Source organism: Homo sapiens, chromosome 7 (assembly GCF_000001405.40).
Source record: "Homo sapiens chromosome 7, GRCh38.p14 Primary Assembly".
Taxonomy (NCBI): Eukaryota; Metazoa; Chordata; class Mammalia; order Primates; family Hominidae; genus Homo; species Homo sapiens.
In genome coordinates this window covers 158,730,247-158,755,644 of record NC_000007.14, presented here as the reverse complement: position 1 = coordinate 158,755,644, position 25,398 = coordinate 158,730,247, and the positions used below count along the sequence as shown (strand labels likewise).

At 43.4% G+C, this 25,398-nt stretch overlaps 1 protein-coding gene across 8 annotated transcripts in view, besides 1 other annotated feature; it reads left to right on the top strand.

Annotated features, from left to right (window-relative positions):
* The window catches only part of ESYT2 (extended synaptotagmin 2), a 98,513-nt gene extending 73,865 nt beyond the window's left edge, over positions 1 to 24,648 (top strand). For 5 of the 8 annotated variants that reach the window (NM_001367773.1, XM_047420659.1, XM_024446847.2 and 2 more), the window contains 10 exons: positions 2,802 to 2,864; positions 5,922 to 5,996; positions 7,365 to 7,451; positions 11,967 to 12,116; positions 13,749 to 14,122; positions 16,524 to 16,622; positions 18,466 to 18,597; positions 20,037 to 20,142; positions 21,174 to 21,223; positions 21,393 to 24,648. In NM_001367773.1, the coding sequence (NP_001354702.1) occupies positions 2,802 to 2,864; positions 5,922 to 5,996; positions 7,365 to 7,451; positions 11,967 to 12,116; positions 13,749 to 14,122; positions 16,524 to 16,622; positions 18,466 to 18,597; positions 20,037 to 20,142; positions 21,174 to 21,223; positions 21,393 to 21,438 (1,182 nt within the window). In that variant the 3' untranslated portion in view covers positions 21,439 to 24,648. The remainder of the gene's footprint in view (positions 1 to 2,801; positions 2,865 to 5,921; positions 5,997 to 7,364; positions 7,452 to 11,966; positions 12,117 to 13,748; positions 14,123 to 16,523; positions 16,623 to 18,465; positions 18,598 to 20,036; positions 20,143 to 21,173; positions 21,224 to 21,392) is intronic. The other 3 variants (NM_020728.3, XM_047420660.1, XM_024446846.2) reach the window with 2 other exon arrangements.
* Positions 20,599 to 21,798: an enhancer, noted in NCBI's record as "BRD4-independent group 4 enhancer chr7:158526538-158527737 (GRCh37/hg19 assembly coordinates)". NCBI's record gives its function as "activates an origin of replication core promoter dependent on BRD2, P300/CBP, MED14 and CDK7 cofactors, and independent of BRD4, by STARR-seq in HCT116 cells {active_cell/tissue: HCT116}" and the evidence as "EXISTENCE:reporter gene assay evidence [ECO:0000049][PMID:35650434]".
* Positions 24,649 to 25,398: the final 750 nt, after the last annotated feature.

Sequence of the window (25,398 nt, the reverse complement as noted above, 5' to 3'; positions counted from 1 at the left end):
TGTTTTACTGCTTAAAAGTAACAGCAGCATATCCTGTTACTTTTAAGAAAATAATTTTTTGCTTGCAGAAAATTTCATCATAGACTAGTGTAAATCTGACTAGATAGCTCCCCTGTGTAAACTGTTAGTTTATCTCCAATAGCTTTTCCAAGTTGCTTTTTCCCATTCTACAACTGCTTCCTTTTGCAGAAAGGAAGTGTCTCTGACCTTGTATCAGGAGCGTTACCAAAATCAGCTTTCCTGCAGCATTATCCAAGTTGCACACTGTACTTCCTTATTAGAACATATGCATCACCTAAGATGTTCCGTAAAACAAATGTGAACTTTTCCCCCACCCATTGGTTTTCAACGTGAAGCCAGATCAGTGCTTCTCAGTTTTCCCCAGAGGGCTGAGAGCCTTGCTGTCACTGGTGAAGGCTTTGACGGCTGCCAACCCAGTGCTCTCTTACTTCCTACCCACTCAAAAGCACCTTGAATTCCAGCTCCAGGAGTGCATTGCCACCAGCGATCCCCATCTGCAAACTTAGGACAATAGGAATTTTTCGTAGGCTGGAAACGACCTCTTCATAATGTGGATTCTTAGAACTTTGCCCTCCTTCTTTTGATGAAATTCTGGGCTTTAATTTCAGGCTTGAACAAGAAGGACTTCCTCTGACTCATGGTGGCCAGCTTTGACATCTTAAGCCTGATATGACAGCATACTTACTGAGCACTTTCCAGGAGCCAGGCAGGGGTCTCAGGTTGCTACTTGTTTAATCTCCAGACCCTCATTATCACTTTACAGATAAGGAAATTAAGACAACACCAAGAACCCAGATGACACAGACTAGAGATTCCCAGGCACGGCTTCAGTGCGTGGGAGAGCTGGAATTGGAACTCAGCGTGGGCCCAGAGTCGGGGTGCTTGGCGCCTCTTGTCCCCTCGACCCTAGTGCAAAGTGAATTTATTGTCACTTTATTAAGTTTATAGATTCATCAGTCTGTATGTGGAATTCATCTGAGATGAGTGGTATTTGCACTAATGCCTTAAACATAACAGTACTAGCTGGATAATAGCCACCACTGTGGAGGCCCTTAGGCCTAATGATGCTAGGAGCTTTGTGCAAGTTATTTTGGCTGTCATTTAAAAAAAAAAGGCCGGGCACAGTGGCTCATGCCTGTAATCCCAGCACTTTGGGAGGCTGAGGTGGGTGGATCACAAGGTCAAGAGATCAAGACCATCCTGGCCAACATGGTGAAACGCCATCTCTAGTAAAAAAAAAATACAAAAAATTAGCCGGGTGTGGTGGTGCATGCCTGTAGTCCCAGCTTTTTGGGAAGCTGAGGGAGGAGAATCGCTTGAACCCAGGAGGTGGAGGTTGCAGTGAGCCAAGATGGTGCCACTGCACTGCAGCCTGGTGACAGAGCAAGACTCCGTCTCAAAAATATAAATAATAAATAAATAAAAACAAAACAAAAAACACAGGTGGCTCCCACTGCTTCCTGATGGTGAGTAGCCCGAGGCTGCAAGATGAGTAACTCCAGAGGCCTCCCGACGGGGCACCTGCCTGAAGCACTTGCCTGGTCTAGTCTGTCTCATCCCCAGAGCCACACAGCTGTCCACTACCTTACACAGCTTCTCCTGCATCCCCTACCCACACACCGCAGCCTCTCTCCTTGTTTTACTTTACTTGATGCATGTTAGAATAATAAGTGTCTTTGGTACAGCCCATATCTATCCAAAAGTGAGCTTCAGGAAGGGTTTGTAGGATATCCGAAGAATGTCAGTCCTTCCGGGCAGCAGAGTTCTCATCCTCATTGTATATGAGCCCCTGGGAAGTGTGTGAAGGATGCCCTTGTCCAGGCTCCACCTAGAGACGGACGCAGTGGATCTAGGGACTTTTGAGAGCTCCACCGGCAGCTTTAGGGTCATGTGAATTCCTGCCTGGCCGCATGTTCCATCTTCTCTCCTGGCCCAGCCTGCCAGTCATGGAAGATTGAGAGGCTAGTTACTCATCTTTCTTCATTATAAAATCTTTTGCTTAGCAAAAAAAAAAAAAAAAAAAATTAAACATTTAGTTCAGCTTGTCACAAGTTTGAAGTTAATTACAACTAAAATGATAAATTCTTTAATCTTGAATACTAGTCCTAGAAGGAGCTTGCAAAACAACTCAGTCTTGCCTTTTTGAGGGCAAGAAACTAATGAATTGGAAAAAAATCAATAAAAGTAAACATAAAACCCATAATCATAGGACTATATTTAGAGCCCAAGAAGCTTCTGTGGGGATCCAGCCAGCCTGACTCCTACCCCGGAAAAGGACGAGGAGCAGAGAGGAGCAGCTCCTCTGCTGGGTGCTGGGTGGGAAGGTGCGTCTCAGCGGCGGTTCCAGGACCTGACCTGGCCTGAGAGGGACTTGGGCGGCTGTGGCCCATTCATTGTGCTTCAAATAAAACCTTTAATTATGATTGGTATTTTAGGGGTTTATTCAGCATAGAATAGTAAATAGAACCCTTTCCTAAAGCCCCACTCTTGTATTTGTGAAATCACAAGGGATCAAGAGGGTGGGGGTAGTAAAAGAATATTAATCATAGGGGATAAGGAGCTGTCTTTTGATATGCATAGATTAAAGGTTCATTCTAAGATGAAGTCTTGGGCATAAAGAATTTTATACGTGGCATTTTGGTTGTTTGTGTAATTCTGGTGGTTTTGTTTAAAGATTTTTGTTTGTTTATTCCCATAAATTTTCATGTCTTTAACCTTACATAAACTTCATTGCATGTTTTATTAACCCTTGGCATATTCGTTTTCTTCTGACTTGAAAGAGTAACCCATTAGAATTTAACCCCGATGTCTTGAAGAAGACTGCAGTTCAGAGAGCTTTAAAGGTAAACTGTTTTCCCTTCAGGTCACAGAGTTAATGAAAACATATTGAAAGAGATGATACTTTGTCTCATAAGTTTATTGGCAAATTACCTCCCATATTTATGTAGTAATTAATTGTCTAGTGGAAGAGACCCTACTTTTGTTATCCAATAATTAGTAGTTAGAACAATTAAAGTCAACTTTGAAGGTAAATTTTATAAAGTACTAGTATGATAAATTAGATTATTTTCCTGTTGGCTTTAGGCAACTCTCTCTAAGGTGATTTAAGTATCTATTTTAATTGGATTTGAATTTGTGAAAATTGTGATATAGACGTTCTACTTAAAATCTTAACTGATGTTTAAATCATGACTTAAAGGGTATGCCTTGTGAACTGTGAATATACATTTAAATATCACCTCTTCCAATATGTTGAGTTAGGGTCATCTCTGAGTCAACACCTTCATGGCTTCTGGTGCTGCTGGGTTTGGGTGATCTCTTGAGAAGCTTTCAATTTCATTAAATGAGGTCTATTGAAAACTAAGCTCCACTCCCTAAAATATGACATCCACGTGTGTGCTCTGGCAAATTGTTAAAAAGTTTTCTTATGATTTAATGTTTTATTATTTTTTCTTTAATTTCTTTGAATATTTTAGGCTTAAATTTTAGGGAGAGGTGGGGAATTTTAAATGAAATTATTTAAAGAAAATTCTATCTATTCTAAAGAAACAGGAACTGTTTTTAACCAGTCTCATCTGGAAAAAATGAGTTAGATTTCAAAAGTGCAGGAGACTGGCAGAGTCTGCTTTATATTGTGGTATTTGCGAACCCCCACTTCGTCCTGCACCAAGGAGATAAGTTGTGGGTTACTAGGGGTTACTCCTGTGGAGTACTAGTTAGCACAGTAGTTGAAATAACTGTGCCCTCCAGAACATTGAAAGGAATTACATCAACACTCTTCTTTGCTATCTGAGAACATAACGTTAAGGCTGAAGGCCCTGAAATCAGACTGTGTTTAAATTGCAACCCAACTGCTCAGCAAGCAGTGTGACCTCCAACAAGACACTTCGTCCACTCTGTTGTGTTATTTGTAGAATGGAAGGAGTAGTATCCTCTTCATGAAATTATCGAATACATTAAATAAAAGAATACGTATGAAAGTGCCCAGTGTAGCTAGGATAATATATATTATAATTGTTATATTATTAAATTAGCTCACCTAGTTTCCAAAAATGCCCATTTTGTAAACATGCAAACTGAGGTTCAGATAGATGCAATATTTAGGTCTCAATAATCAAGGGATAAACAGAGCTGAGGTTTAAGTTCAAGACAATCTGACTTAACGCTTATATTTTTATTATACTTTGTCCCTTTGACTTGTGCTGATGGATTTTGAATATTGCATCATAGAGGAAAACTTAATGATTTAACCTTATTTCATAGGATTGAAAACATCATCCATTTTAAGATACATCATTATTTTATGAACCAATAAGATTTTAAATGCCGCTAAGTTTTGACAGTGTTTATTTTATACTTAGAGAATTTTAGGATAAACAGTTTTATCATGTCACTGACAGGTATACCTAAACAGAAAATGGAAGCGAAATAAATTGGTTAGGGCAGTGACAACTCTCACTACTGCCAACCTCCCCCAAAAAGGTATATATTATCGATTTAAGATTCATTCTGTTTTCAGAGATGTTAGAAAATTGGGGAAAAAAAAGTATATGTTTTAAAATTGACAAGGTGCAGTCAATTTCTAGGAACAGGTGACCACTTTTTCAGAGATGAAGTGTTTATATTAATTAAGGAGCACTTGGTTTCTGTATCTAATAATAGAACTGACTTAGAAGTAGCAGTAGGTGATGTCCCTCTAAAGTCCGGGGGTTCTGGCCTGGGGATCTGCCACGAGCTACCTGTGGCTCCAGCCCGAGGGGACACAGCCTCCTGTGGGGCCAGAACTTAGTTACTTGGCCATGCCTGACTGCAAGGGAGGTTAGCCAACAAAATCTGTATTTACAGAGGACTTGTGCTCAGCTAAAACTTGGGAATCTAATATTAAAGGAAAAAGGAGAAAATTAACTTAGGGGGGAAATTAGTATTCTCTTCCACAGTAATCTGTAGCCTTGGAAACTTTTTTCAACAGTACTTATTTTGCAGAATTCATTCACATCAGAAAGATGAACCAGAAAATAGATTATTGCAGTAGGTTTGAACTAATAATATTTCTTCCAATAATGATAGGATTTTGACACCTATTTCTGACACTGCTGTATTGTTGAGTCTTGACTCTAAAATTATTTAACTCAAAAACATTTTTGTGACCTTCTAATTAATTTCCACTAACACAGATATTTAACTGCATCTTCTTGTGGGGCTAAGTTATAAATAAACCTCATGTCACACGTATCTGCTGCTTTACTATTTTCTCCTATCAACTATCTGTGCTAGTGTGTACTTCTTACCGTTTTTCCTAGTCCTGAATTTTTTCTTCATATTTATATCTGCTTAATTTAATATGATTCTAAACTGATGATTATTCTTCCAGTCAAAATTATTTAGCAGCTGGTAAGCAAGATTTGATATGTGAAAGCTTAAAAATGCTCAAACAGAAGACGCTAAGTTGAGAACATAAAACCGTGTATCTGACACTCTGTACTATTTTTATTCCCGCCAGAGAAATATTCTGAATTTTACGTTCTTTTACATTTGTCTTTTAATGATTTTTGGTTTTCATTAATTGCACTTTATTCATTTTCGTTATCCTTGTAAATAAAAGAACTTTCGAAAAGTGTGATTAACATTAAGAATTTTTAGAAGATTCAGTTTTCCAAAGTAGTTGGCTTTAAAAATACCAGACTCTAACCTTTAAAATTTGTGTGCAAATGAAAGTTTTGTAGTTATGGTTTGGGGTGTGTGTAGCTTATGTTTTCCCATTAAATTGTTCCCAGATATTCCCTTAAATATCAGAGATAAATAAAAATGACTACTAATATAAGCCAGTAATTTCATTTTTAGTTAAGACCCATTTAAAATGTGTTTATTTATTTTGTCTGTTTTCTGTTTGTTTTGGGTAGTCAGGGAAGAAAATAAGCAGCAACCCAAATCCTGTTGTCCAGATGTCAGTTGGGCACAAGGCCCAGGAGAGCAAGGTAAGGTGCTCGCCCTGGACTCAGCCTTGGTGCCTGTCGTGCGGGCGCTGTCCGTGTTGCCGTCTCACCTGGGGATGCCGGGTTGCAAATACATTCAGTTGTGTGATAGCGTGGGCATCGAGACCAGGGCTTTTCAGATCTATTTTTTCTTAGATCAGTCATTTGATATAGATAACCAGCTACTTGAAATACCAAGAAATATACTGTTCATTTTTTAAAATGACTTCAGTGGCTAGGTGTGGTGGCTCCTACCTGTAATCCCCACAATTTGGGAGGCCGAGGCAGGGAGATCCCTTGAGGTCAGGAGTTCGAGACCAGCCTGGCCAATACGGTGAAACCTCATCTCTACTAAAAATACAAAACTTAGTCGGGCATGGTGCCGGGTGCGGTGCCGGGTGCCTGTAATCCCAGCTACTCGGGAGGCTGAGGCAGGAGAATCGCTTGAACCCGGGAGGCAGAGGTTGCAGTGAGCCGAGATTGCACTACTGCACTTCAGCCTGGGTGACAGAGCAAGACTCTGTCTCAAAAAACAAAACAAAAATAACATTAGAAAGTAATAGATGAATATGTTTTTGCTTGATTTTATGAGTAGACACATGGGAACAATTCCTAAGTTTGTCTTGAGCACTCTATAAATAGTTTAAAAGAAAACCAACAGTGCTTAAAATTCAACCAATACAGTTAGAATTACGACTTGAAAAGAGGGTATGGCTATTACATATTGCTGTAATATGTTCTACTTTCCTTACAGGAGAAAAAAAATTAGCTGGGCATGGTGGCACGTGCCTGTAATCCCAGCTACTTGGGAGGCTGCAGCAGGGGAATTGCTTGAACCCGGAAGGTGGAGGTTGCAGTGAGCTGAGATTGCGCCACTGCACTCCAGCCTGGCGACAGAGCAAGACTCTGTCCCCCCTACCAAAAAAAAATAAAAAATAAAAAAAAAAAGAAAGAAATTGCCCGAAGTTACAGGTCATCACTCACTGAATTGTGAACAGTTTAAGAGACGTGCCCAAGTGCTCACCCTCCTCAGTTCGGAGGAGCTATTACGTTGGTGCAAAAGTCATTACAGAACCGAGGCCAGGCCACGCACACGAAGCCTTTATCTGTGGGCGCACAGGTTGGGGCCTCATGACAAACTCTAAAGGCTTTAGACCGTCTCGTTATCTTTTCAACACATCCACCATCAATACATAATAGTGCATACCTGCAAATACATGTCTTGGAATTTAATTAAGGTCAACCTAAGCTTCTAGTTTTTTGTTTTATTTATTTTCTTTTTATTTTTCATTCTAAGCTTCTAAACACATAAAATGAGTAGCCCTTTTCCACAGAAAATATCAGAGCTAATAATTTGGATATTTCTTCTAGATTCGATACAAAACCAATGAACCTGTGTGGGAGGAAAACTTCACTTTCTTCATTCACAATCCCAAGCGCCAGGACCTTGAAGTTGAGGTATTTTATTTGCATTTTTTAACCAATTTATTGACAAATAATTGACTTTTTAAAGTATACAATTTGCTGAGTTGTGACCCGTGTATACACCTGGGGATCCATCGCCAGAATCAGGACAATTGGTAGATCTCTCTGTAACCCGGGCCTCCCCTAGCCCCAGGCAAACACAGACCTGCCTTTGGTCACTGTAGATTACTGTTCACATTTTCCAGGATTTTATACAAATAGAATTATGCGGTATGTCCTCTAGTTGTCTATATTCTCTGGTGATAATTATTCTGAGGTTTACCTGTGTTGTTGCAGATACCCACAGTTTGTCTTTTTTTATTGTTGAGTAGTAGTTATGGATATACCACAATTTGCTCATCCATTTACCTGTGAGTAAGACATTGATAAAAGATTGGGTTCTTTCCGGTTTAGACCTATTACATATAAATCTGCTGTGAATATCACATACAAGACTGTGTGTACATATGCCTTCATTCTGTTGGGTAAAATGCCCAGGAGCAGGTTGCCAGGTTCATGTTTAGCTTCTTAATAAACTGCCAAATTGTTTTCCAAAGAGATTGTGCCGTGTCACATTCCCACCGAAGTGCATGTGAGTCGAGCGGGCCCCACATCTCGCCAGTGCTGTGGTGTTAGTGGGTAGATAGGAGTATTACCGGGTGGTTTCAGCGTCATTACTAATGACGTTGAGCACCTTTTTATGCTTTTTTACGGTCTTTGTATCTTCTATGGTGAAATGTCTATTCAGTTTTTTTGCCTGTCTTTTTTATTTGGTTATTTGTCTTCTTAATACTGAGTTTGTAAGACGTTTGGGGTTTTTTTTTTAATGTTTCATTCTTTCTGAGATGAAGTCTCACTCTGTCATGGAGGCTGGAGTGCAGTGGTGCGATCTCAGTCACTGCAGCCTCCACCTCCTGGGTTCAAGTGATTCTCTTGCCTCAGCCTCCTGAGAGCTGGGATTACAGGTGCGCGCCACCACACCTGGCTGATTTCTTGTATTTTTAGTGGAGACGGGGTTTCACCATGTTGGCCAGGCTTGGCCTTGAACTCCTGACCTCAGCTGATCCGCCCACTGTGGCCTCCCAACGTGCTGGGATTACAGGCGTGAGCCAACGCACCCCGCCTCTTTGTTTTTGAGAACAGAGTTTCACTCTGTTACCCAGGCTGGAGTGCAGTGGTGTAATCACAGATCACTGCAGCCTCCAACTCCTGGGTTCAAGTGATTCTCTTGCCTCAGCCTCCGGAGTAGCTGGGACTACAGGCAGACACCACCATGCCTGGCTAATTTTTTTATTTTTTGTAGAGAATTATTTTATTTTTTGTAGGGTCTCACAGTGTTGCCCAGACTGGTCGCAGACTCCTGGGCTCGAGCAGCGATGTTCCCACTTCTGCTTCCCCAAGTGCTGGGATTGCAGTTGTGAGCCACGGTGCCCAGCCTCTTTTTCTTAATATGGCTGTGTAGTTGTTCAGCATTTGTGCAGTTGTTCAGTCTTTGTTGAAAAGATTATTATTTGCCCTAATTTATTAGCTTAGCAACTTTCCAGAAATTCAGTTGCCCATATGTATAGGTCTGTTTCTGGAATTCCTTCTGTTCCATTGTTCTATATGTCTGTCTTTATGCCAGTATCACACTGTCTTTATTATTGGTGCTTTATTAATCTTTTTTTTTTTTTTTCTTGAGGCAGGGTCTCACTTTGTCACTCAGGCTGGAGTGCAGTGGTGCAGTCATGGCTCACTGCAGCCTTGACCTCTTAGGCTCAAGCAATCCTCCCGCCTCAGCCTCCCAAGTGGCTGGGACTAGAGGTGCACACCACCACACCCAGCTAATTTTTGTGTTTTGGGTATGTGTGTATGTGTGCCTCAGCCTCCCAAGTGGCTGGGACTACATGTGCATGCCACCATACCCAGCTAATTTTTGTGTGTTGGAGGGGCGTGTGTGTGTGTGTGTGTGTGTGTGTCTATTTATGTATGTAAAGATGCGGTTTCACCACATTGCCCAGGCTGGTCTCGAACTCCTGAGCTCAAGCCATCTATCCACCTTGGCCTCTCAAAGTGCTGGGATTACAGACGTGAGCCATCATGCCTGGCCTGTCTTCTCTCTTCTTCTTCCTAATAAGTCTTACAAGATGTTTATTGATTTTATTTTCTTAACCAATTTTTTGTTTAATTGTCATTATTGCTTTTCTTTTACTATTTCATTGATTTCTACTATGATCATTATTATTTCAGTCCCACTTACTTTGGGTCTTTGCTTCTCTTTTTCTAGTTTCTTAAAGAAGAAGCTTGAGACATTTCTGTTTTTATAATGTAGGCATTTACTCCAATAAATTTCACTTTAAATTCTGTAGCTACATCTCACAAATTTTGACTTGTCGTTGATGTCTCCTTTTGATTATTATTATTTCCTTAATTTCCCTTTCAGTTTTTTCCTTTGACCTGTGTATGGGTTATTTTGGTCTGTTATTTAGTTTCCATATGTTTGGGGATTTTTTTTTAATCTTTCTATTATTGATTCCAATTTCATTCCATAGTGGTCAGAGTACATACTTTGTATGACATGAGCCCTTTTATGTTTGAGACCGGCTTTATGGCCCAGAGCACTGCCTGTCCTGGGACACACTCCACGTGCACCTGTAGGCTGTGTGCCTTTCTGGTGTTGGCGAGTGTCTCATGAATGTCAGTAGGTCAGGGTGGTTGGTGGCATTGCCATTGCTCAGGCCCTCTGGGGCCTTACTAGTTCTCAGACTACTTATATCAGGTATGAAGAGCATGGCGTTTAAATCTCTGAATTTATGTTTTTTTCCTCAGCCTCTGTTTTTGCTACTTGTATCTTGAACCTCTCTTGATAGGTGTGTGTGAACAGCCAGGCCTAGGAGACCTGGTCATGCCGCTTGCCCGACCCTGTCTCATTAGATAGGTGAGTGTGAACAGCCGGGCCTAGGAGACCTGGTCATGCCGCTTGCCTGACCCTGTCTCATTAGATAGGTGAGTGTGAACAGCCGGGCCTAGGAGACCTGGTCATGCCGCTTGCCTGACCCTGTCTCATTATTCTGTGTTGGTTGTTTTATTAGGTTGGTGCAAAAGTAATTGGAGTTTTTGCCATTGAAACTGCAATTACTTTTGCCCCAATCTGATACTTTTTTACATTCTGTTTTATACAAAAGGATTTGTGTTTTGTCTAGCTGGTTTTTCCTTCATAAAGTGCACTTCTGTATTCTCAAAATAATCTATGCTTACTGGACCTTGGATTTTAAAAATAATTTTTAAAGTTCCACAAACATTGTCATAGTTATTTCATTTAAAACTGCTTTTGTGATTATAGTTTAGTTTGAAAAGAAATATGCAATCAACCTTTTAGGTTTTCCTGAGTAGTTATGTGTTAATTTCTCTGACCATTTTTGTATAGCCTGAGAAACCTTCAGAGTTCTTACTCTATTTGATTAAATTATTTTATATTACAGCCATCTAACAGGAATAATTCCTGTTGCAGAGATAATGCAGAAGGTTATTATACAGGAAAAAGAGGCTGGGCATGGTGGCTCACACCTGTAATCTCAGTACTTTGGGAGGCTGAGATGAGAGGATCACTTGAGGCCAAGAGTTTGAGAACAGCCTGGGCAACATAGTGAGATCCACCTCTGTTTTTTAAAAAATTTTTAAATGCCTTGCTGTAAATTTTCTTTAATGTGGATTTTGAATGGAGAAGGCTTAAAAGGTACTTAGAAATGTATTGTCTCCATAAATGTCATGAATGGAAACTGTATACATCGTTATGAGTGTGTATTGCCACCATTTTCCCAGGGGTTAAAAGACAGGTAGACTATTGCCTATTAACCCAGGGTTCTCCGAACCGATTGGTCATTATTGTCATTACTGCTTTTCTCATTTGTCATTATTACATCATTTCTTTCTGTGCTCATTGTAATCTATAATGACGAAATAGCAGATCTTTTGCTTGTTAACAGTGTTTTGTGTCTTTGTTAGGAGATTTCATACCATGTTAATCATTATGGAAACACTACTTAAGAGAATATGGCTGAAATATGTTTGGGTTTTTAAAAATATCTTTCTTACAGACTAATATTGTCTGTGGACCTTTCTACATTTGTTTGTTTGTTTTTGAAACAGTTTTGTCACCCAGGCTGGAGTGCAGTGGCGCGATATCAGCTCACTGCAGCCGCCTCCTCCCAGGTTCAAGCGATTCTCATGCCTCAGCCTCTTGAGTGGCTGGGACTACAGGTGCGCGCCACCATGCCCAACTAATTTTTTGTATTTTTAGTAGAGATGAGGTTTCACCATGTTGGCCAGGCTGGTCTCGAACCCCTGGCCTCAGGTGATCTGAGCCTCCCAAAGTGCTGAAATTACAGGCGTGAGCCACCCCACCTGGCCCCTTTCTACATTTTCTAAGTTCCTATCTCTGAGGACAAAGGGTCAGGAGCGTAGACAACGTAGAAAGGTTCTGCAGACATGATCCTAGTTATGCCAGTGTTTCCACCCTGTGTTTTGCAGGTCAGAGACGAGCAGCACCAGTGTTCCCTGGGGAACCTGAAGGTCCCCCTCAGCCAGCTGCTCACCAGTGAGGACATGACTGTGAGCCAGCGCTTCCAGCTCAGTAACTCGGGTCCAAACAGCACCATCAAGATGAAGATTGCCCTGCGGGTATCGTGTCGTCCTGCAGTGAACACCATAGGGGATGGGGAGGCGGGTGCTGGCAGGGATACTCATGGGCCCCGGGCATGAGGCCGGTGAAGAAAGCTCTGTGTCGGCTGCAGCTCTGGGCCGCAGGAGGGCGCCGGTGCAGGGAGGAGATATTGTTGCTGGGTATCAGAGGGTTCCGGGGAGAAGACAAAGGCTGGGACTCAGCCATAGAACAGGCCACGTTTCCAGGTTGCCCGAGCAGGCCCACGGCTACTCAAACAGTGCTTTCCTGTGAACCCAGCAACCTTACCGTTATCCTTTGGCCCAGAAAGTGTTACTGTTGGTATCAACAAGGTTTTCTCCTAAGTCTTAACTTTTCAAAGGTTGTTCAGAAGAGAGAATTTAATAAAACTCCACGAGACAGTAGAACTTACAGGAAAAAAATATTTTTTGTCCAAAATCACGATTCATTTGTAAATAGCTAAGGAAATATTGAAAGTAAAACTGGCAAACATATGGGGAAATACTAAAACTCATGAATCAAAGAAATGCAAATTAAAATAAAGAGCCAGCTTTTTAAGAAAATTACAAATGTCTTCTATTGAGGGGGCAATGGGAACAGCCTCCTTGCCCCGGCAGAGACTGGAGGTGTCGCACACCTCTCCAGAGGGAGCTGCGACAACCCTGAGCCACTCATCTGAAGGCTCCTTGGCCTTTCTTCTAGAAACCTGACTTTTGTTTTGGTGATACAAAGTGTGGGGAGACCAGGAACATAAAGATGTTCACCGCAGCGTTATTTCCTAAAACCAGAAAAAACCTTTAAGCTGTCACGTGAGTGGAGTGATTTACAAGGTGTGGACTCTGCTCAAGCCAGCCCAGGGACCAGCTCATGTGCTCACACAACTGGGAGACCCCAGGCCCTGCGGGAACCCCCTGCTCCTGCACTCATGTCAGGTTGTTGGGGTGATCTTGCTGGATAGCAGGGGTTCTGGACTTTCTTCCTCCCTCTGGGGACGCCGGGTGGAAACCCCTTATGTAGAATACGGGCTTTGGTCTTGTGTCGAGGAAATGCGACTCTGGGCTCTTGATGTAAAAACATTGTCCCACAATTGTGTAGAAATACATGGAAACGGAAGAGACTAGAGGAATACGCAGAAGTGTTATGGGGGGCTCCTTGCCTGAGACGTGGCCTGGGGAGGATGGAGGAGCTTCTGCCCAGGTTGTGTGGCACCAGAGGGTCAGCTTCAGGGGGGTGGCCTGCCCTTCCACACCAGGCTTATCACTGCCACCGCCCTGTTGCTGCCACCAGAGCCTGAAGACGCAGGCCTCGGCGATGCCCCAGCTACTTGGCAGGCTGAGGCGGGAGGATCTCTTGAGGCCAGGAGCTTGTGGTGTAGTGCGCGATGGTCACCCCTGTGAAGAGCTACAGCACTCTGGCCTGTGCAGCTTAGCAGGTCCTCATCTCTGGGAAAAAAGTGGTATTTGTATCACAGAAGTGACATTTTGGTTACCTAAACTTTCCTTTAAAAAAAAATTTTTTTTTGAGCTAAGTTTTAAAGAAATTTTTGCAGGTAAAGACATCCCAGGCTGTTCCAGTATTAGGATGTTACCAGTGTCACCAAGTTTAATTTTTATGTTTATGTCCACCTCTAGGTGCTCCATCTCGAAAAGCGAGAAAGGCCTCCAGACCACCAACACTCAGCTCAAGTCAAACGTCCCTCTGTGTCCAAAGAGGGGAGGAAAACATCCATCAAATCTCATATGTCTGGGTCTCCAGGCCCTGGTGGCAGCAACACAGCTCCATCCACACCAGTCATTGGGGGCAGTGATAAGCCTGGTATGGAAGAAAAGGCCCAGCCCCCTGAGGCCGGCCCTCAGGGGCTGCACGACCTGGGCAGAAGCTCCTCCAGCCTCCTGGCCTCCCCAGGCCACATCTCAGTCAAGGAGCCGACCCCCAGCATCGCCTCGGACATCTCGCTGCCCATCGCCACCCAGGAGCTGCGGCAAAGGCTGAGGCAGCTGGAAAAGTAACTAAGTGCCACCATGTTGTTTCTCACCAGCAGAGCAAGCGCCCCCCACCCCACGCTGGGGGAGAGTCGTTTAACGCAGCAGAGCATGAGGCCGGCATGCTTTGGGGAGGGAGGCCTAATCTTAGGTTAACTGAAAGCACTTCAGGTTGTGTTGCCGTTTTGCTCACTGCATCTCGGACTTTGGAAATAAAACCTGCCATTTTCTAGGATTTAGTCATTAAAGATTAGAACGTGATGGAGTAATAGGTTTCACAGTAGGAAAGACAGGAGGCAGCGCCGGGACGCTGCTGTGTGCCTGGGCCTCTGCCAGGAAGACAGACGCAGAGCTGGCCCGCGGGCCTCGCTGCGGCCACTGGAGAAGCCCTGGCCTCCCCGTTGTGTGAGGACAGACCTGCTCTTTCACGTAGTTGGATCCCATCCCTGTTGCTCAGTCTCTTTTGTTTGTCTTCGGATGTCTGTGTTGGCTCCTTATTTAAGCCCCATGACTCATAGGTGTGTGTTAAGGGTTTCTTTAGATACGGAGGAAAAAGTTGTCTGTAGTTATCACAAGCTTCAGATGTTAACCTTTTCCTCTTGGTGGAAGAAACAAAATTGACCTTTGAAATAGTTCTCCCTGTGTGGTGTTATAAGAGGTGTGTTGAATAATAAGAAAATAGTAACAGAAACGGAGGCAAAGGTGCTTCTGAGCTGTTAGAAAAAGCACACGCAGACTGTGGAGCTTGCACAGCCGCCCTCCTCTGAGCCACACTCACTTTTTTCTTTCATGCTTTCTCATGTCCACTATTTTGGAAAGAAGAAAACATTCCTTCTCTCTTGCTCCAGAAGGAAATAGAATTTTAAACAAGGAAACACTTTTTCTCAGGAGCTCAATTTGGGAAGTAGAAATGATCTTAGGGGCCACTGAACAAACAAGACCAGTTGTCATTTTGGGGGTCTGTGTTCCATCCTTGAGCAGAGAGAAATGGAAGGAAGGGCGCTGCAGTCTCATCAGATGGGAAGAGAGCACGTGGCTTGCATGAGGCTTTGAGACGGGACATGCAAATTCGGGTAGGACAGGCTAGAAACTGCTTAACAAGGACCACAGGGCTGATGCTTGTAATAAGGACACTGTGTGGTTTTAACCTCGGGTGCTCAATTGGTGAATCATAAGATCTGCACATTTAGAAAGGAGACTATTCCTTATCCTTATAGGGTTGCAGCCTGCAGGCTGGCCAGCCTGACAGGCCCGGAAGCACCTCAGAGGAGGAAGGGTAGGGCAGGAGCTTGTGCGGAGCACGCGTCCTCAGCAGGTTCCAGGAGGAGCTGTGAATGCCGCAGAGTGCCCAGCCTCTCTAGAACAGCCAGCAGCAGTCCGTGGTCAGGGTCTGCCATCAGGAGGAAGTTGTGAAATCAGCCTCTCGTCAGTCAAAGCTGCAGTTAGCGCCGGTGGAGCAGGGGTCACTGAGTCAGCATCTGGATCAGGACAAGCTGGGATTTTGCTTTAACACTGCTGCTCTCGAGGCCAGTGCTTGTTTAGCTGCTGGAGAAAGAAACACCTGGTGGCAGGTAGAACCCAGTTTATTCTGTTAAGCGTTGGGTGTGAGGCTTACCCTTGCCTGGCATGGCCCCAGGTCTTCTTTGTAGCTTGGTATCTTACTGCCGCAAGGAATCTGTTCCTTCAGTCTTAACGATCTCTGCTGCAGCATTAATGCCAGTCGGTTGTTGCATCTGAACTGCGAAGGGGGGGGTATAAATAACCTCCCGTCCTGTTGTGGTCAGGAACTCAGTGTTTAAGTTTCTCTGGGGTCCCCTGGGTCCACTCACATGGGAGTGGGGTGGGGGCTTAGGATTTTACTTTTAGTTTTCAGGACCCTAACTAAAAAACTGTCAGTTGGCTGGACGCGATGGCTCACGCCTGTAATCCCAGCACTTTGGGAGGCCGAGGCAGGTGGATCACCTGAGGTCAGGAATTTGAGACCAGCCTGGCCAACATGGTGAAACCCCATCTCTACTAAAAATACAAAAAATTAGCTGGGCGTGGTGGCGGGCGCCTGTAATCCCAGCTACTCAGGAGGCTGAGGCAGGAGAATCGCTTGAACCCAGGAGGCGGAGGTTACAGTGAGCCAAGATTGCGCCATTGCACTCCAGCCTAGGCAACAAGAGTGAAACTCCGTCTCAAAAAACAAAAACAAAAGAAATAATGTCAGTTTTGAATAATTAATTTATATTGAACCCTCAAGTAAAATATTCATCTGTTTGACTTGTACCCAGAAGTTTCAAATTATGTTTAAGTTCATGGGTAATTTGACTTCTTTTTGTCTAAATGAATAGAAATTATTTTATCGTGTACAGTGGACCAATGAATCACAACGTTCTCCAGTCTCAGGCAAGCTGGTGACTTTCTGCTCTTTTCCCACAGCGGGACGACCCTGGGACAGTCTCCACTGGGGCAGATCCAGCTGACCATCCGGCACAGCTCGCAGAGAAACAAGCTTATCGTGGTCGTGCATGCCTGCAGGTGGGGGCTGGGGTCCCACGCGCCCGCTGCTGTGCTGCTGAGTGTGGATGCTGGATAGGATGATGTAGACACCGCCTTTAGGATTTCCAAACATCCATTTATGTTTCATTTAGAAAGGACAAAGCAATTAAACCTCTAGAGACGGTGCTCGTAAAGGGTGTCACCACTGCGTATGTCACATGACAACGTTTTGGTCACCGAAGTACAACGGTCCCCTAAGATCATACTGTATTTTTACTGTACCTTTTATGTGTTTAAATACACAAATATGGCTTGGCATGGTGGCTCACGCCTGTAATCCCAGCACTTTGGGAGGCTGAGGTGGGCAGATCACCTGAGGTCTGGAGTTCGAGACCAGCCTGACCAAAATGGAGAAACCCTGTCTCTACTAAAAATACAAACTAGCCACGTGTGGTGGTGCATGCCTGTAATCCCAGCTACTAGGGAGGCTGATGCAGGAGAATCACTTGAACCCAGGAGGCAGAGGTTGCTGTGAGCCAAGATCGTGCCATTGCACTCCAGCCTGGGCAACAAGAGCGAAACTTTGTCTCAAAAAGAAAAAAAAATACACAAATATGTCACAATTGCCTACAGTATTCAGCACAGTAGCATACTGTACAAATGTGTAGCCTAGAGCAGGAAGAGTGTGTGTGTGTGTGTGTGTGTGTGTGTGTGTGTCTGTGTGTGTGTGTGTATTTTTTTTTTTTTTTGGAGACAGAGTTTTACTTTGTCCCCCAGGCTGGAGTGCAGTGGCACAATCTCATCTTACTGCAACTTCCGCTTCTTGGGTTCAAGCAATTCTCCTGCCTCAGCCACCCGAGTAGGTGGGATTACAGGCGTGCACTACCTCGTCCGACTAACTTGTATTTTTAGTAGACACGGGGTTTCACCATGTTGGCCAGGCCTCCTGAGTAGCTGGGACTATAGGTGGAAGCCACCAGGCCTGGCTAATTTTTAATTTTTTTATGGAGACGCTGGTCTCTAATTCCTGGCCTCCCAAAGCACTGGGATTATAGACTTGAGCCACCATGACTGGCCTAATCAGGAAGAATTTATTTTAACTTGTTTGTTATATTAATAAGTATAAAGTCAGGTGACTGTTGCATTAATTGCATTTGTTAACAATGATACTGTGGGCTTACGAACTATTTTCCTTTTATGCAATTTTCTCTGTCCTATTAGTGGTTTAAAATATGATATAAAAATTTGGTGCTTATAAATAGCTGTTGGAAACATAGGAAAATAAAATTAGCACCATTTAGAAAGATGATAAAAATGTAGAGTTCAGTACATCACTCTTGAGAAGTTCATATATTCTTGCCACTTAGATAATGATCGTGGGGGATACTGTTGTAGAGGAGTCTAGCAAAACAATCCCTCCTAGACTTTGTGGTCAGTCAGCAAGCGAAGAATGTGGGGGCCTGTGCAGCTGGGCACCTGACCGCGTTTGCTGCAAAGGAGCAGCCCCCTTCTGGAGGGGTAGGCACTGTGGGGTGGGGGCCTGGCTTTCTTGGCTGTGAGAGAGAAAATGGCAGAAGCATTATGGAAAGACAACCGTCACTCTGTTACAAGCAGAGACCAAGGACTTGGAACGTCCTCCAAACTCTGGGCTTGAGAAATGAAGGCCGAAGTCGCTGCTGAGAAAGCCACTAAGAAAGGAGTTTGGGAGATGCCACCAGGCAGCCGTCGGGGGAGGCAAAAGCGCCTCACGCATTCTGTTCCTTGTTGCTTCTCGGTTTGTAGATAAACATGAAATCAAAGCTTGATAAAGCATATCTGAATGTGCTGCTCATTCTCTTTTTCTCGGTCCTAATACCTCGTCTTATCTGGTTTGTGTTGTAAGAAACCTCATTGCCTTCTCTGAAGACGGCTCTGACCCCTATGTCCGCATGTATTTATTACCAGACAAGAGGCGGTCAGGAAGGAGGAAAACACACGTGTCAAAGAAAACATTAAATCCAGTGTTTGATCAAAGGTACGGTATTTTATCCAGCTGAGGATAGACTGCCCGGTTGAAGTGACGGATTAAGAAGGCCCTAAATGGTGCCTTTGAGTGGCCAAAGCACATAAATCAGCTGTTGAGAAGTTCAATCAGAAACCAACTTTTAGCAAACATACTTCTCAAAACAAATAAGCATTTTGACCTTCATGTAGAAGCTCTAAATACAGTAAATTCAAGTTACAACCCTGTGGACATGTAGACTAGTGATTAAATAAAGATCAGGTTACTGATGGCCCTGAAGAACTCATTTTTGGGGGTTATATCTGTTGACACTTAACTATGTTATCAATTAAAACTGAGAATTTAAGGATACATATATTTTTAATTTTATTTTTAAATAACAGTAAGCCCCAAACATCTTACCGTATGACATATTGGAAAAACAACTGTATTTCCAAAAATAAAAAACATAATGAAAAGAATGGTATTATTGTTCAGCATTTTTGCTCATCTCTTTAGTGGTCTGGCTCAAGAGGGGCTGGAGCCTGCTTCTGTGGTCAGGGTGATTTGGTGACCTCCTAGGAGGGTCTCAGAGACACCCCCAGGGGTCATTGGCCCCCACTTTTAAAGAGCTGCTAATCTGTACCATTTTGGTATCTTAGGTGATTGTCCCCTAGTGCTTCAAAACCCACCCTTGTTTTGGGAAATGATAATAATACAGTTGTATGGTGTCGCTATCTGCTAATTCAGTTTACGTTTCATCTTTAAACATCCTCCTCATTCATTGTACTTTCATACAAGTAGCTTTATGTAAAACACCCATCAGAAACTGGCAGGCGTGCATCAGCCCGATGAGGTTGTGCAGGGTGCTCCTACCCATCCGAGGCATTTAAGCGTCTGGAGACTCCACTTGCCCCCCAGCACGGTGGCCTGGGGCAGGCACCCGCAGCCCGGAGGAGAGACGCCCTGCAGGCACTTTAGTGCAGCGTCTGGCTGAGCATCGGGAGTGCTTTGGAGGCCTTCTCCCTCCTGCGAAGCTGCAAGCACATACTTTTTTTTATTGGAGATGGTGGGAATAGGGCCTGAAGACTAAACCAGACTGAGTGGAAAGCCTGAGTGAGTGGGCTGCTCTGGAATTGCTGTTTTGTCAACATTATCCCACATTTTAATCCCCTGGAAGAGTCAGACATGTTGAGAGACGCTCCTCACCCACCCGTGAGTGAGCCAGGGACCTTGGGACCCAGACATCTATGGGATGCCAGAGCCTTCTTTTATGTGTGGGAAATGAAAAAAATGTTGGTTTTTGAGTCTTCCTGAAATGCCAGATTAAAACATTAGGTAGAAGAACTCAGTTTTATAATAAAAAACAAACATGACATTTGGAATGATCTCATGAGCAGAAATGCCATTTTTAGTTATAAGAAAATACAGCAGAATGATGGATAAAGTAAGGCTCTCGTTTCCTATTTCAGCTTTGATTTCAGTGTTTCGTTACCAGAAGTGCAGAGGAGAACGCTCGACGTTGCCGTGAAGAACAGTGGCGGCTTCCTGTCCAAAGACAAAGGGCTCCTTGGCAAAGTAAGTGCCAAACGAATCCTCAACCAGTTCCTGCAGTTTGTAAAATTGAACATTTACCTGCAGTGCAGTGTTTAGACCATGTCTGTGTAAGTGGAAGGGGCGAACTTACGAGGTCGATGCTTGTTTATAAATCATGGGCTATAAAGACAGTCAAAACATCTGTGCTTTCTGAAGATATTTTAAGTTAAGTCTTCACATTTTTGTTCAAGTATCACATTGAAGGAAAATAATCTCTTACAATTCCATCTCCTCAACTGATGGCTCTGCTCTTTTTCTAAAATTCTTTGGCTTTATTTATGTGAATTTCTTCTACTCTTTGTCCGTATTTCACATTTCACTTTGGCATGTGAGTGTATGTTATTTAGGAATGAGAGTAGGTTCAGTTGGGGAGGAAGAGATTTGAGTCACGGGCATCATTTCGTCAGCTGTGCTGCCATGGAGGGCACATGGGCCAACCCTTCTGTGAGTCATCTCCGCTGATATTCCGTCATAGCTGAATTTTAAGACTGCTGGTTGCATGAAGGATTTCTTAGATGTATTCAGCGATGTAGCTTACAGGTGCTCAGGGGGGTAGAAAAGATTGAAAAAGTAAGAGCCTTCAGAAAAGGGAGAGTCCATATTCCTAGATGAAGACAGAAGATTAGAGAGATGAGAAGAAGTGGTAAAAGATCTAAAAGACATTGTCTTAGCCTACTTTATGTATTTGTTTATTTATTTAGAGACAGGGTCTGTAGAAGCACAGGCTGAAGTCCAGTGGCGCGATCATGGCTCACTGCAGCTTCAAATGCCTGGGCTCCAGCAATTGCTGTCTCAGCCTCCCGAGTTGCTGGGACCAAGGTGCGTGTCAGCACGCCCAGATAAATTTGTTTTACTTTTAATAGAGACAAGGTTTCACTATCTTGCCCAGGCTGGTCTCAAACTCTTGGGCTTAAGAGATCCTCCCATCTTGGCCTCCCAAAGTGCTGGGATTACAGACGGGAGCCAGTGCCCCCAGCCCAGCCTACTTTAACTGCTTTTTTAACAACCCACAGGTATTGGTTGCTCTGGCATCTGAAGAACTTGCCAAAGGCTGGACCCAGTGGTGAGTGTCCCTGCTGCAGACAGAGAACCCCAGTGTGTAGCTAAAAACGCTTTCCCCGCCCAGTGGGTAGTGTCCCCCACAGACAGTGGTGGAACCCGACACGTATCTGATAGGCTTTTCCTACTTGGTCCTGTATCCGTCACCACCTTCCTGTCACTGTCTTTCTCAGGTATGACCTCACGGAAGATGGGACGAGGCCTCAGGCGATGACATAGCCGCAGCAGGCAGGAGGCGTCCTCTTCAGCGTAGCTCTCCACCTCTACCCGGAACACACCCTCTCACAGACGTACCAATGTTATTTTTATAATTTCATGGATTTAGTTATACATACCTTAATAGTTTTATAAAATTGTTGACATTTCAGGCAAATTTGGCCAATATTATCATTGAATTTTCTGTGTTGGATTTCCTCTAGGATTTCGCCAGTTCCTACAACGTGCAGTAGGGCGGCGGTAGCTCTTGTGTCTGTGGACTCTGCTCAGCTGTGTCCGTAGGAGTCGGATGTGTCTGTGCTTTATTATGGCCTTGTTTATATATCACTGAGGTATACTATGCCATGTAAATAGACTATTTTTTATAATCTTTACATGCTGGTTTAAATTCAGAAGGAAATAGATCAAGGAAATATATATATTTTCTTCTAAAACTTATTAAATTCGTGTGACAAATAATCATTTTCATCTTGGCAGCAAAAAGTTCTCAGTGACCTATTTTGTGGTGTTTCTTTTTGAAAAGAAAAGCTGAAATATTATTAAATGCTAGTATGTTTCTGCCCATTATGAAAGATGAAATAAAGTATTCAAAATATTAACATTTTCATAAATATAAGGATGTATTATTGAGAAGTAAGTTGAAGGGCTTATAAGGAAAAATGTTTTATAACTGAGTAATATATTAAGAGAATTGTCATGGTTCATAAATCACATTATGCTAATCTGAAATTTCTTACATAAAAATGAAGTGTCTTATGTTTATTTTAATTGCTGTTGTAACTTACTCATGAAACAGTATACAGACACCTTGTACTTTTCCTCAACTGTAAGAGCAGACTTTCAATGTTAGCAATTAAGCTGTTGTCAAACAATCAGTCATGAGCTTTGTTAATTTTCAATGTTTTCCCAGCCTATAAAAAAAGGAAGGTACACGTTGTCCTTTTAAAGGTTGTGAGGTAGATTGGAGTGAGTAGACAGGATATTGCATTAAAAATTGAAAGCTCGATCTCATTATTGTCAGGAACCCCCAGTGTGACCTCACACATAGGATGTGGGACCTTTGAGCCGATGTGCACTGGCCACCACCAGGGTTGGGGGCGCCACAGCTGCGAGCCCGGCCCCTGCTGTTCTCAGCAGCCACTTCCCAGGCTGCCTCACTTTATGCCATGACTGACCTTAATATTGGGATATTGTTATGCAATTTTTATCCTGTTTAGACTGTTAAAAGCAGGTTTCTGTACTTAAGAGTCCCCCAGACCTCCTGTGAGGTGAGGCTCTGTTGCAGTGTCGTAGGCTGTGTGTGTCTGTAAAGAAAGAATGCACATATGTAGACGATTAAGTGTATATTATAAGCTATATGCTGAAAATGGCTTCCATAGCCATGAGAACATCTTAAAACTATGTGTAAATATATTAAGGAAAGTATAGCTTTGTAATTTAAATTGGAGCTTTTAGCTTGTTTCATGGAACTATACAACTTGTGGGTAACTCACATGACCAAACAAACCAAAGTGCCTGTGACGGGGCGGGTGGCGTCTACCCACCCTCCCTTCTAGCAGATTCTTATTTTGTTTGAATTTATAAACAAGGCTGGTGGCTGTCTACCCACCCTCCCTTCTAGCAGATTTTGATTTTGTTTCAATTTATAACTTACACTTTGAACCATGGGTTTACTTATAATGGAGTCTGTAGCTTCACAGCATATTTCATGTAATCATAAAGACCAGTATATTCCCTCCTGCTGAATGACATGCGACTGTAAAGCCTCTTTATAAACCATTTCCAATGTTAGTATATAGGATTATTTGGGAAGCGTATCAATACCTTTATAGACAAATACGAACATGTATGCACACAAAACATTTAACTATGGTATTTATGGAAGACAGGTAACAACATTAAATCTAGTTGCTTTCCCTTAGTATTAGATTTGTTGAGGGTTTTTTAAAAATCAGGTCTGTTGAAAGTCTTCTGTCATAATCTATAAAGCAGCAGCACTCATGGAAATTGTAGCATGCCAGTAATTTTTACCAACATCCCATACATCTGAGTTCTGCAGTCCAGTGTGTAATCCGCTCCATGTGTATTTTGCTTAATGGAATGCTTTATTTAAGCACTTAGGCAGAGTAGACACAATTAAAGGTACAAAGCCCAGAGGAAGTGGTAGAGCAGCACCGTGCCTGCCCTGAGGCAGTGGAGTCAGTAGCGCTGTCCCCAGGGCCTTGAGTGCCTGGAGGTGCTTGGCCTCCAGTAGCTGCCTCCATTCTCTTTTAAAAAAAGGGGGTGATTCTGAGGCACTGAAGTGCCTCCCAGATGTGGAGGAGTGAAGCCACCATCGAGGCCACACTCAGCACTCCAGGATCCCAGCGATGTCAGACACTCTTGAGTTGTCAAAACGTTAATTTTCAGTTTTAAATAATCAGTTTATCTAAGAAAAGGGAATTTTAACTTTTCTACCTTGAGCCAAGCCAATGAAGGGAAAATTAATTAACTTAGTAAATTTGAAGTGCAGCTCTGTTAGCTCGTACATGTGGGTTCTTATCCTGATCCTGTGCCTTAAAGTAGGAAGGTGTTTCCAAGTTCAGATTAAAATAGAAGCAGCTGGCCGGGTGCGGTGGCTCACGCCTGTAATCCCAGCACTTTGGGAGGCCGAGGCGGGCGGATGACCTGAGGTCAGGAGTTCAAGACCAGCCTGGCCAACATGGAGAAACCCCATCTTTACTAAAAATACAAAAATTAGCCGGGCGTGGTGGTGGAGCGCACGCCTGTAGTCCCAGCTACTCGGGAGGCTGAGGCAGGAGAATTGCTTGAACCCAGGAGGCGGAGGTTGCAGTGAGCCAAGATCGCACCACTGCACTCCAGCCTGGGCAACAGAGTGAGACTCCGTCTCAAAAAATAAATAAAATAGAAGCAGCCTTGTAACTGTATTTACCATGATAATATATTCTGCACGGTAAGAATTCCTTTTACAGACATTCTTTATCAAGAGGTCGGCCCTTCTTTTTCAGGCACATAAGCCAAATGCAGGCCTGTGTGTAGCTGTGTGTTTTTTCTGTGGTTGCCGCATTTATTCCACCTCCAGCTGGACCCCCCACTGCAAATAGAGAACAGCGGTGGGGGATGGGGGTTAAAAAGTAGAGAACCTCCTTTCTGTTCAACTAATTTCACGTGACAGTGCATGTATTTATTCAATAAAACCTTTATGTTAGCTCAGTCGTGATTTGTTTTTCTCTGTCTTTTGAAGGGAGGTGTTCAGTGTGCAGTCAGATAATTTGAAAGGAGACGTCGTGCACTGTTTCATTTGCTGTCTGCACTCGCGTTTTCCCAGCAGCTACGTCAGAGCAGCTGACATCCTTCCTGTTGTTCCCAGCTCAGTTTGACTCTCCTCTGCCCAGCACATTACACTCCACATGTCAAAAACAGCTCTTCTAAAGGATAATCATACGTAGAAAAAATAAACTTTAAATGTGTTTTTAACTAGGGCTCTGAGAAGTGCAGCGGGGACTGCCGAGACACCTGAACATTGGAACACTGAGGGTGATACTGGAGTATCCCTTCCTGTTGCGTTCATTACTGGTGGTCTGGATCGACTTGAGTGGAGCCCTTGCGCTTTTCCTCGTAGCCGCTCGGCATTTCACACCAGGCACTTCCTTTCTCCTTGACTGTGGGCCTTTGACACCGGGCACTTCCTTTCTCCTTGACTGTGGGCCATCCTTCTTGGCCTCTGTAGCGCCTTCCTCTGTATTTTCCTTGCACATTTTTGGCCATTTTCCAACACTGTCTTCACCTTCAACCAGACTCAATAATTGGCATAATGTGGGTTTTGGTTCTGATCACTTTTTATTTTTATGTGGTGTTCTTAATACCATCAATACCCTGGTTTCCAGATGTATGTCACTGATACAGATGTTGTCTGAGCTCAGGACCAGTTCATCCCACTGCATCCCCGTCCTCTGTGTCACA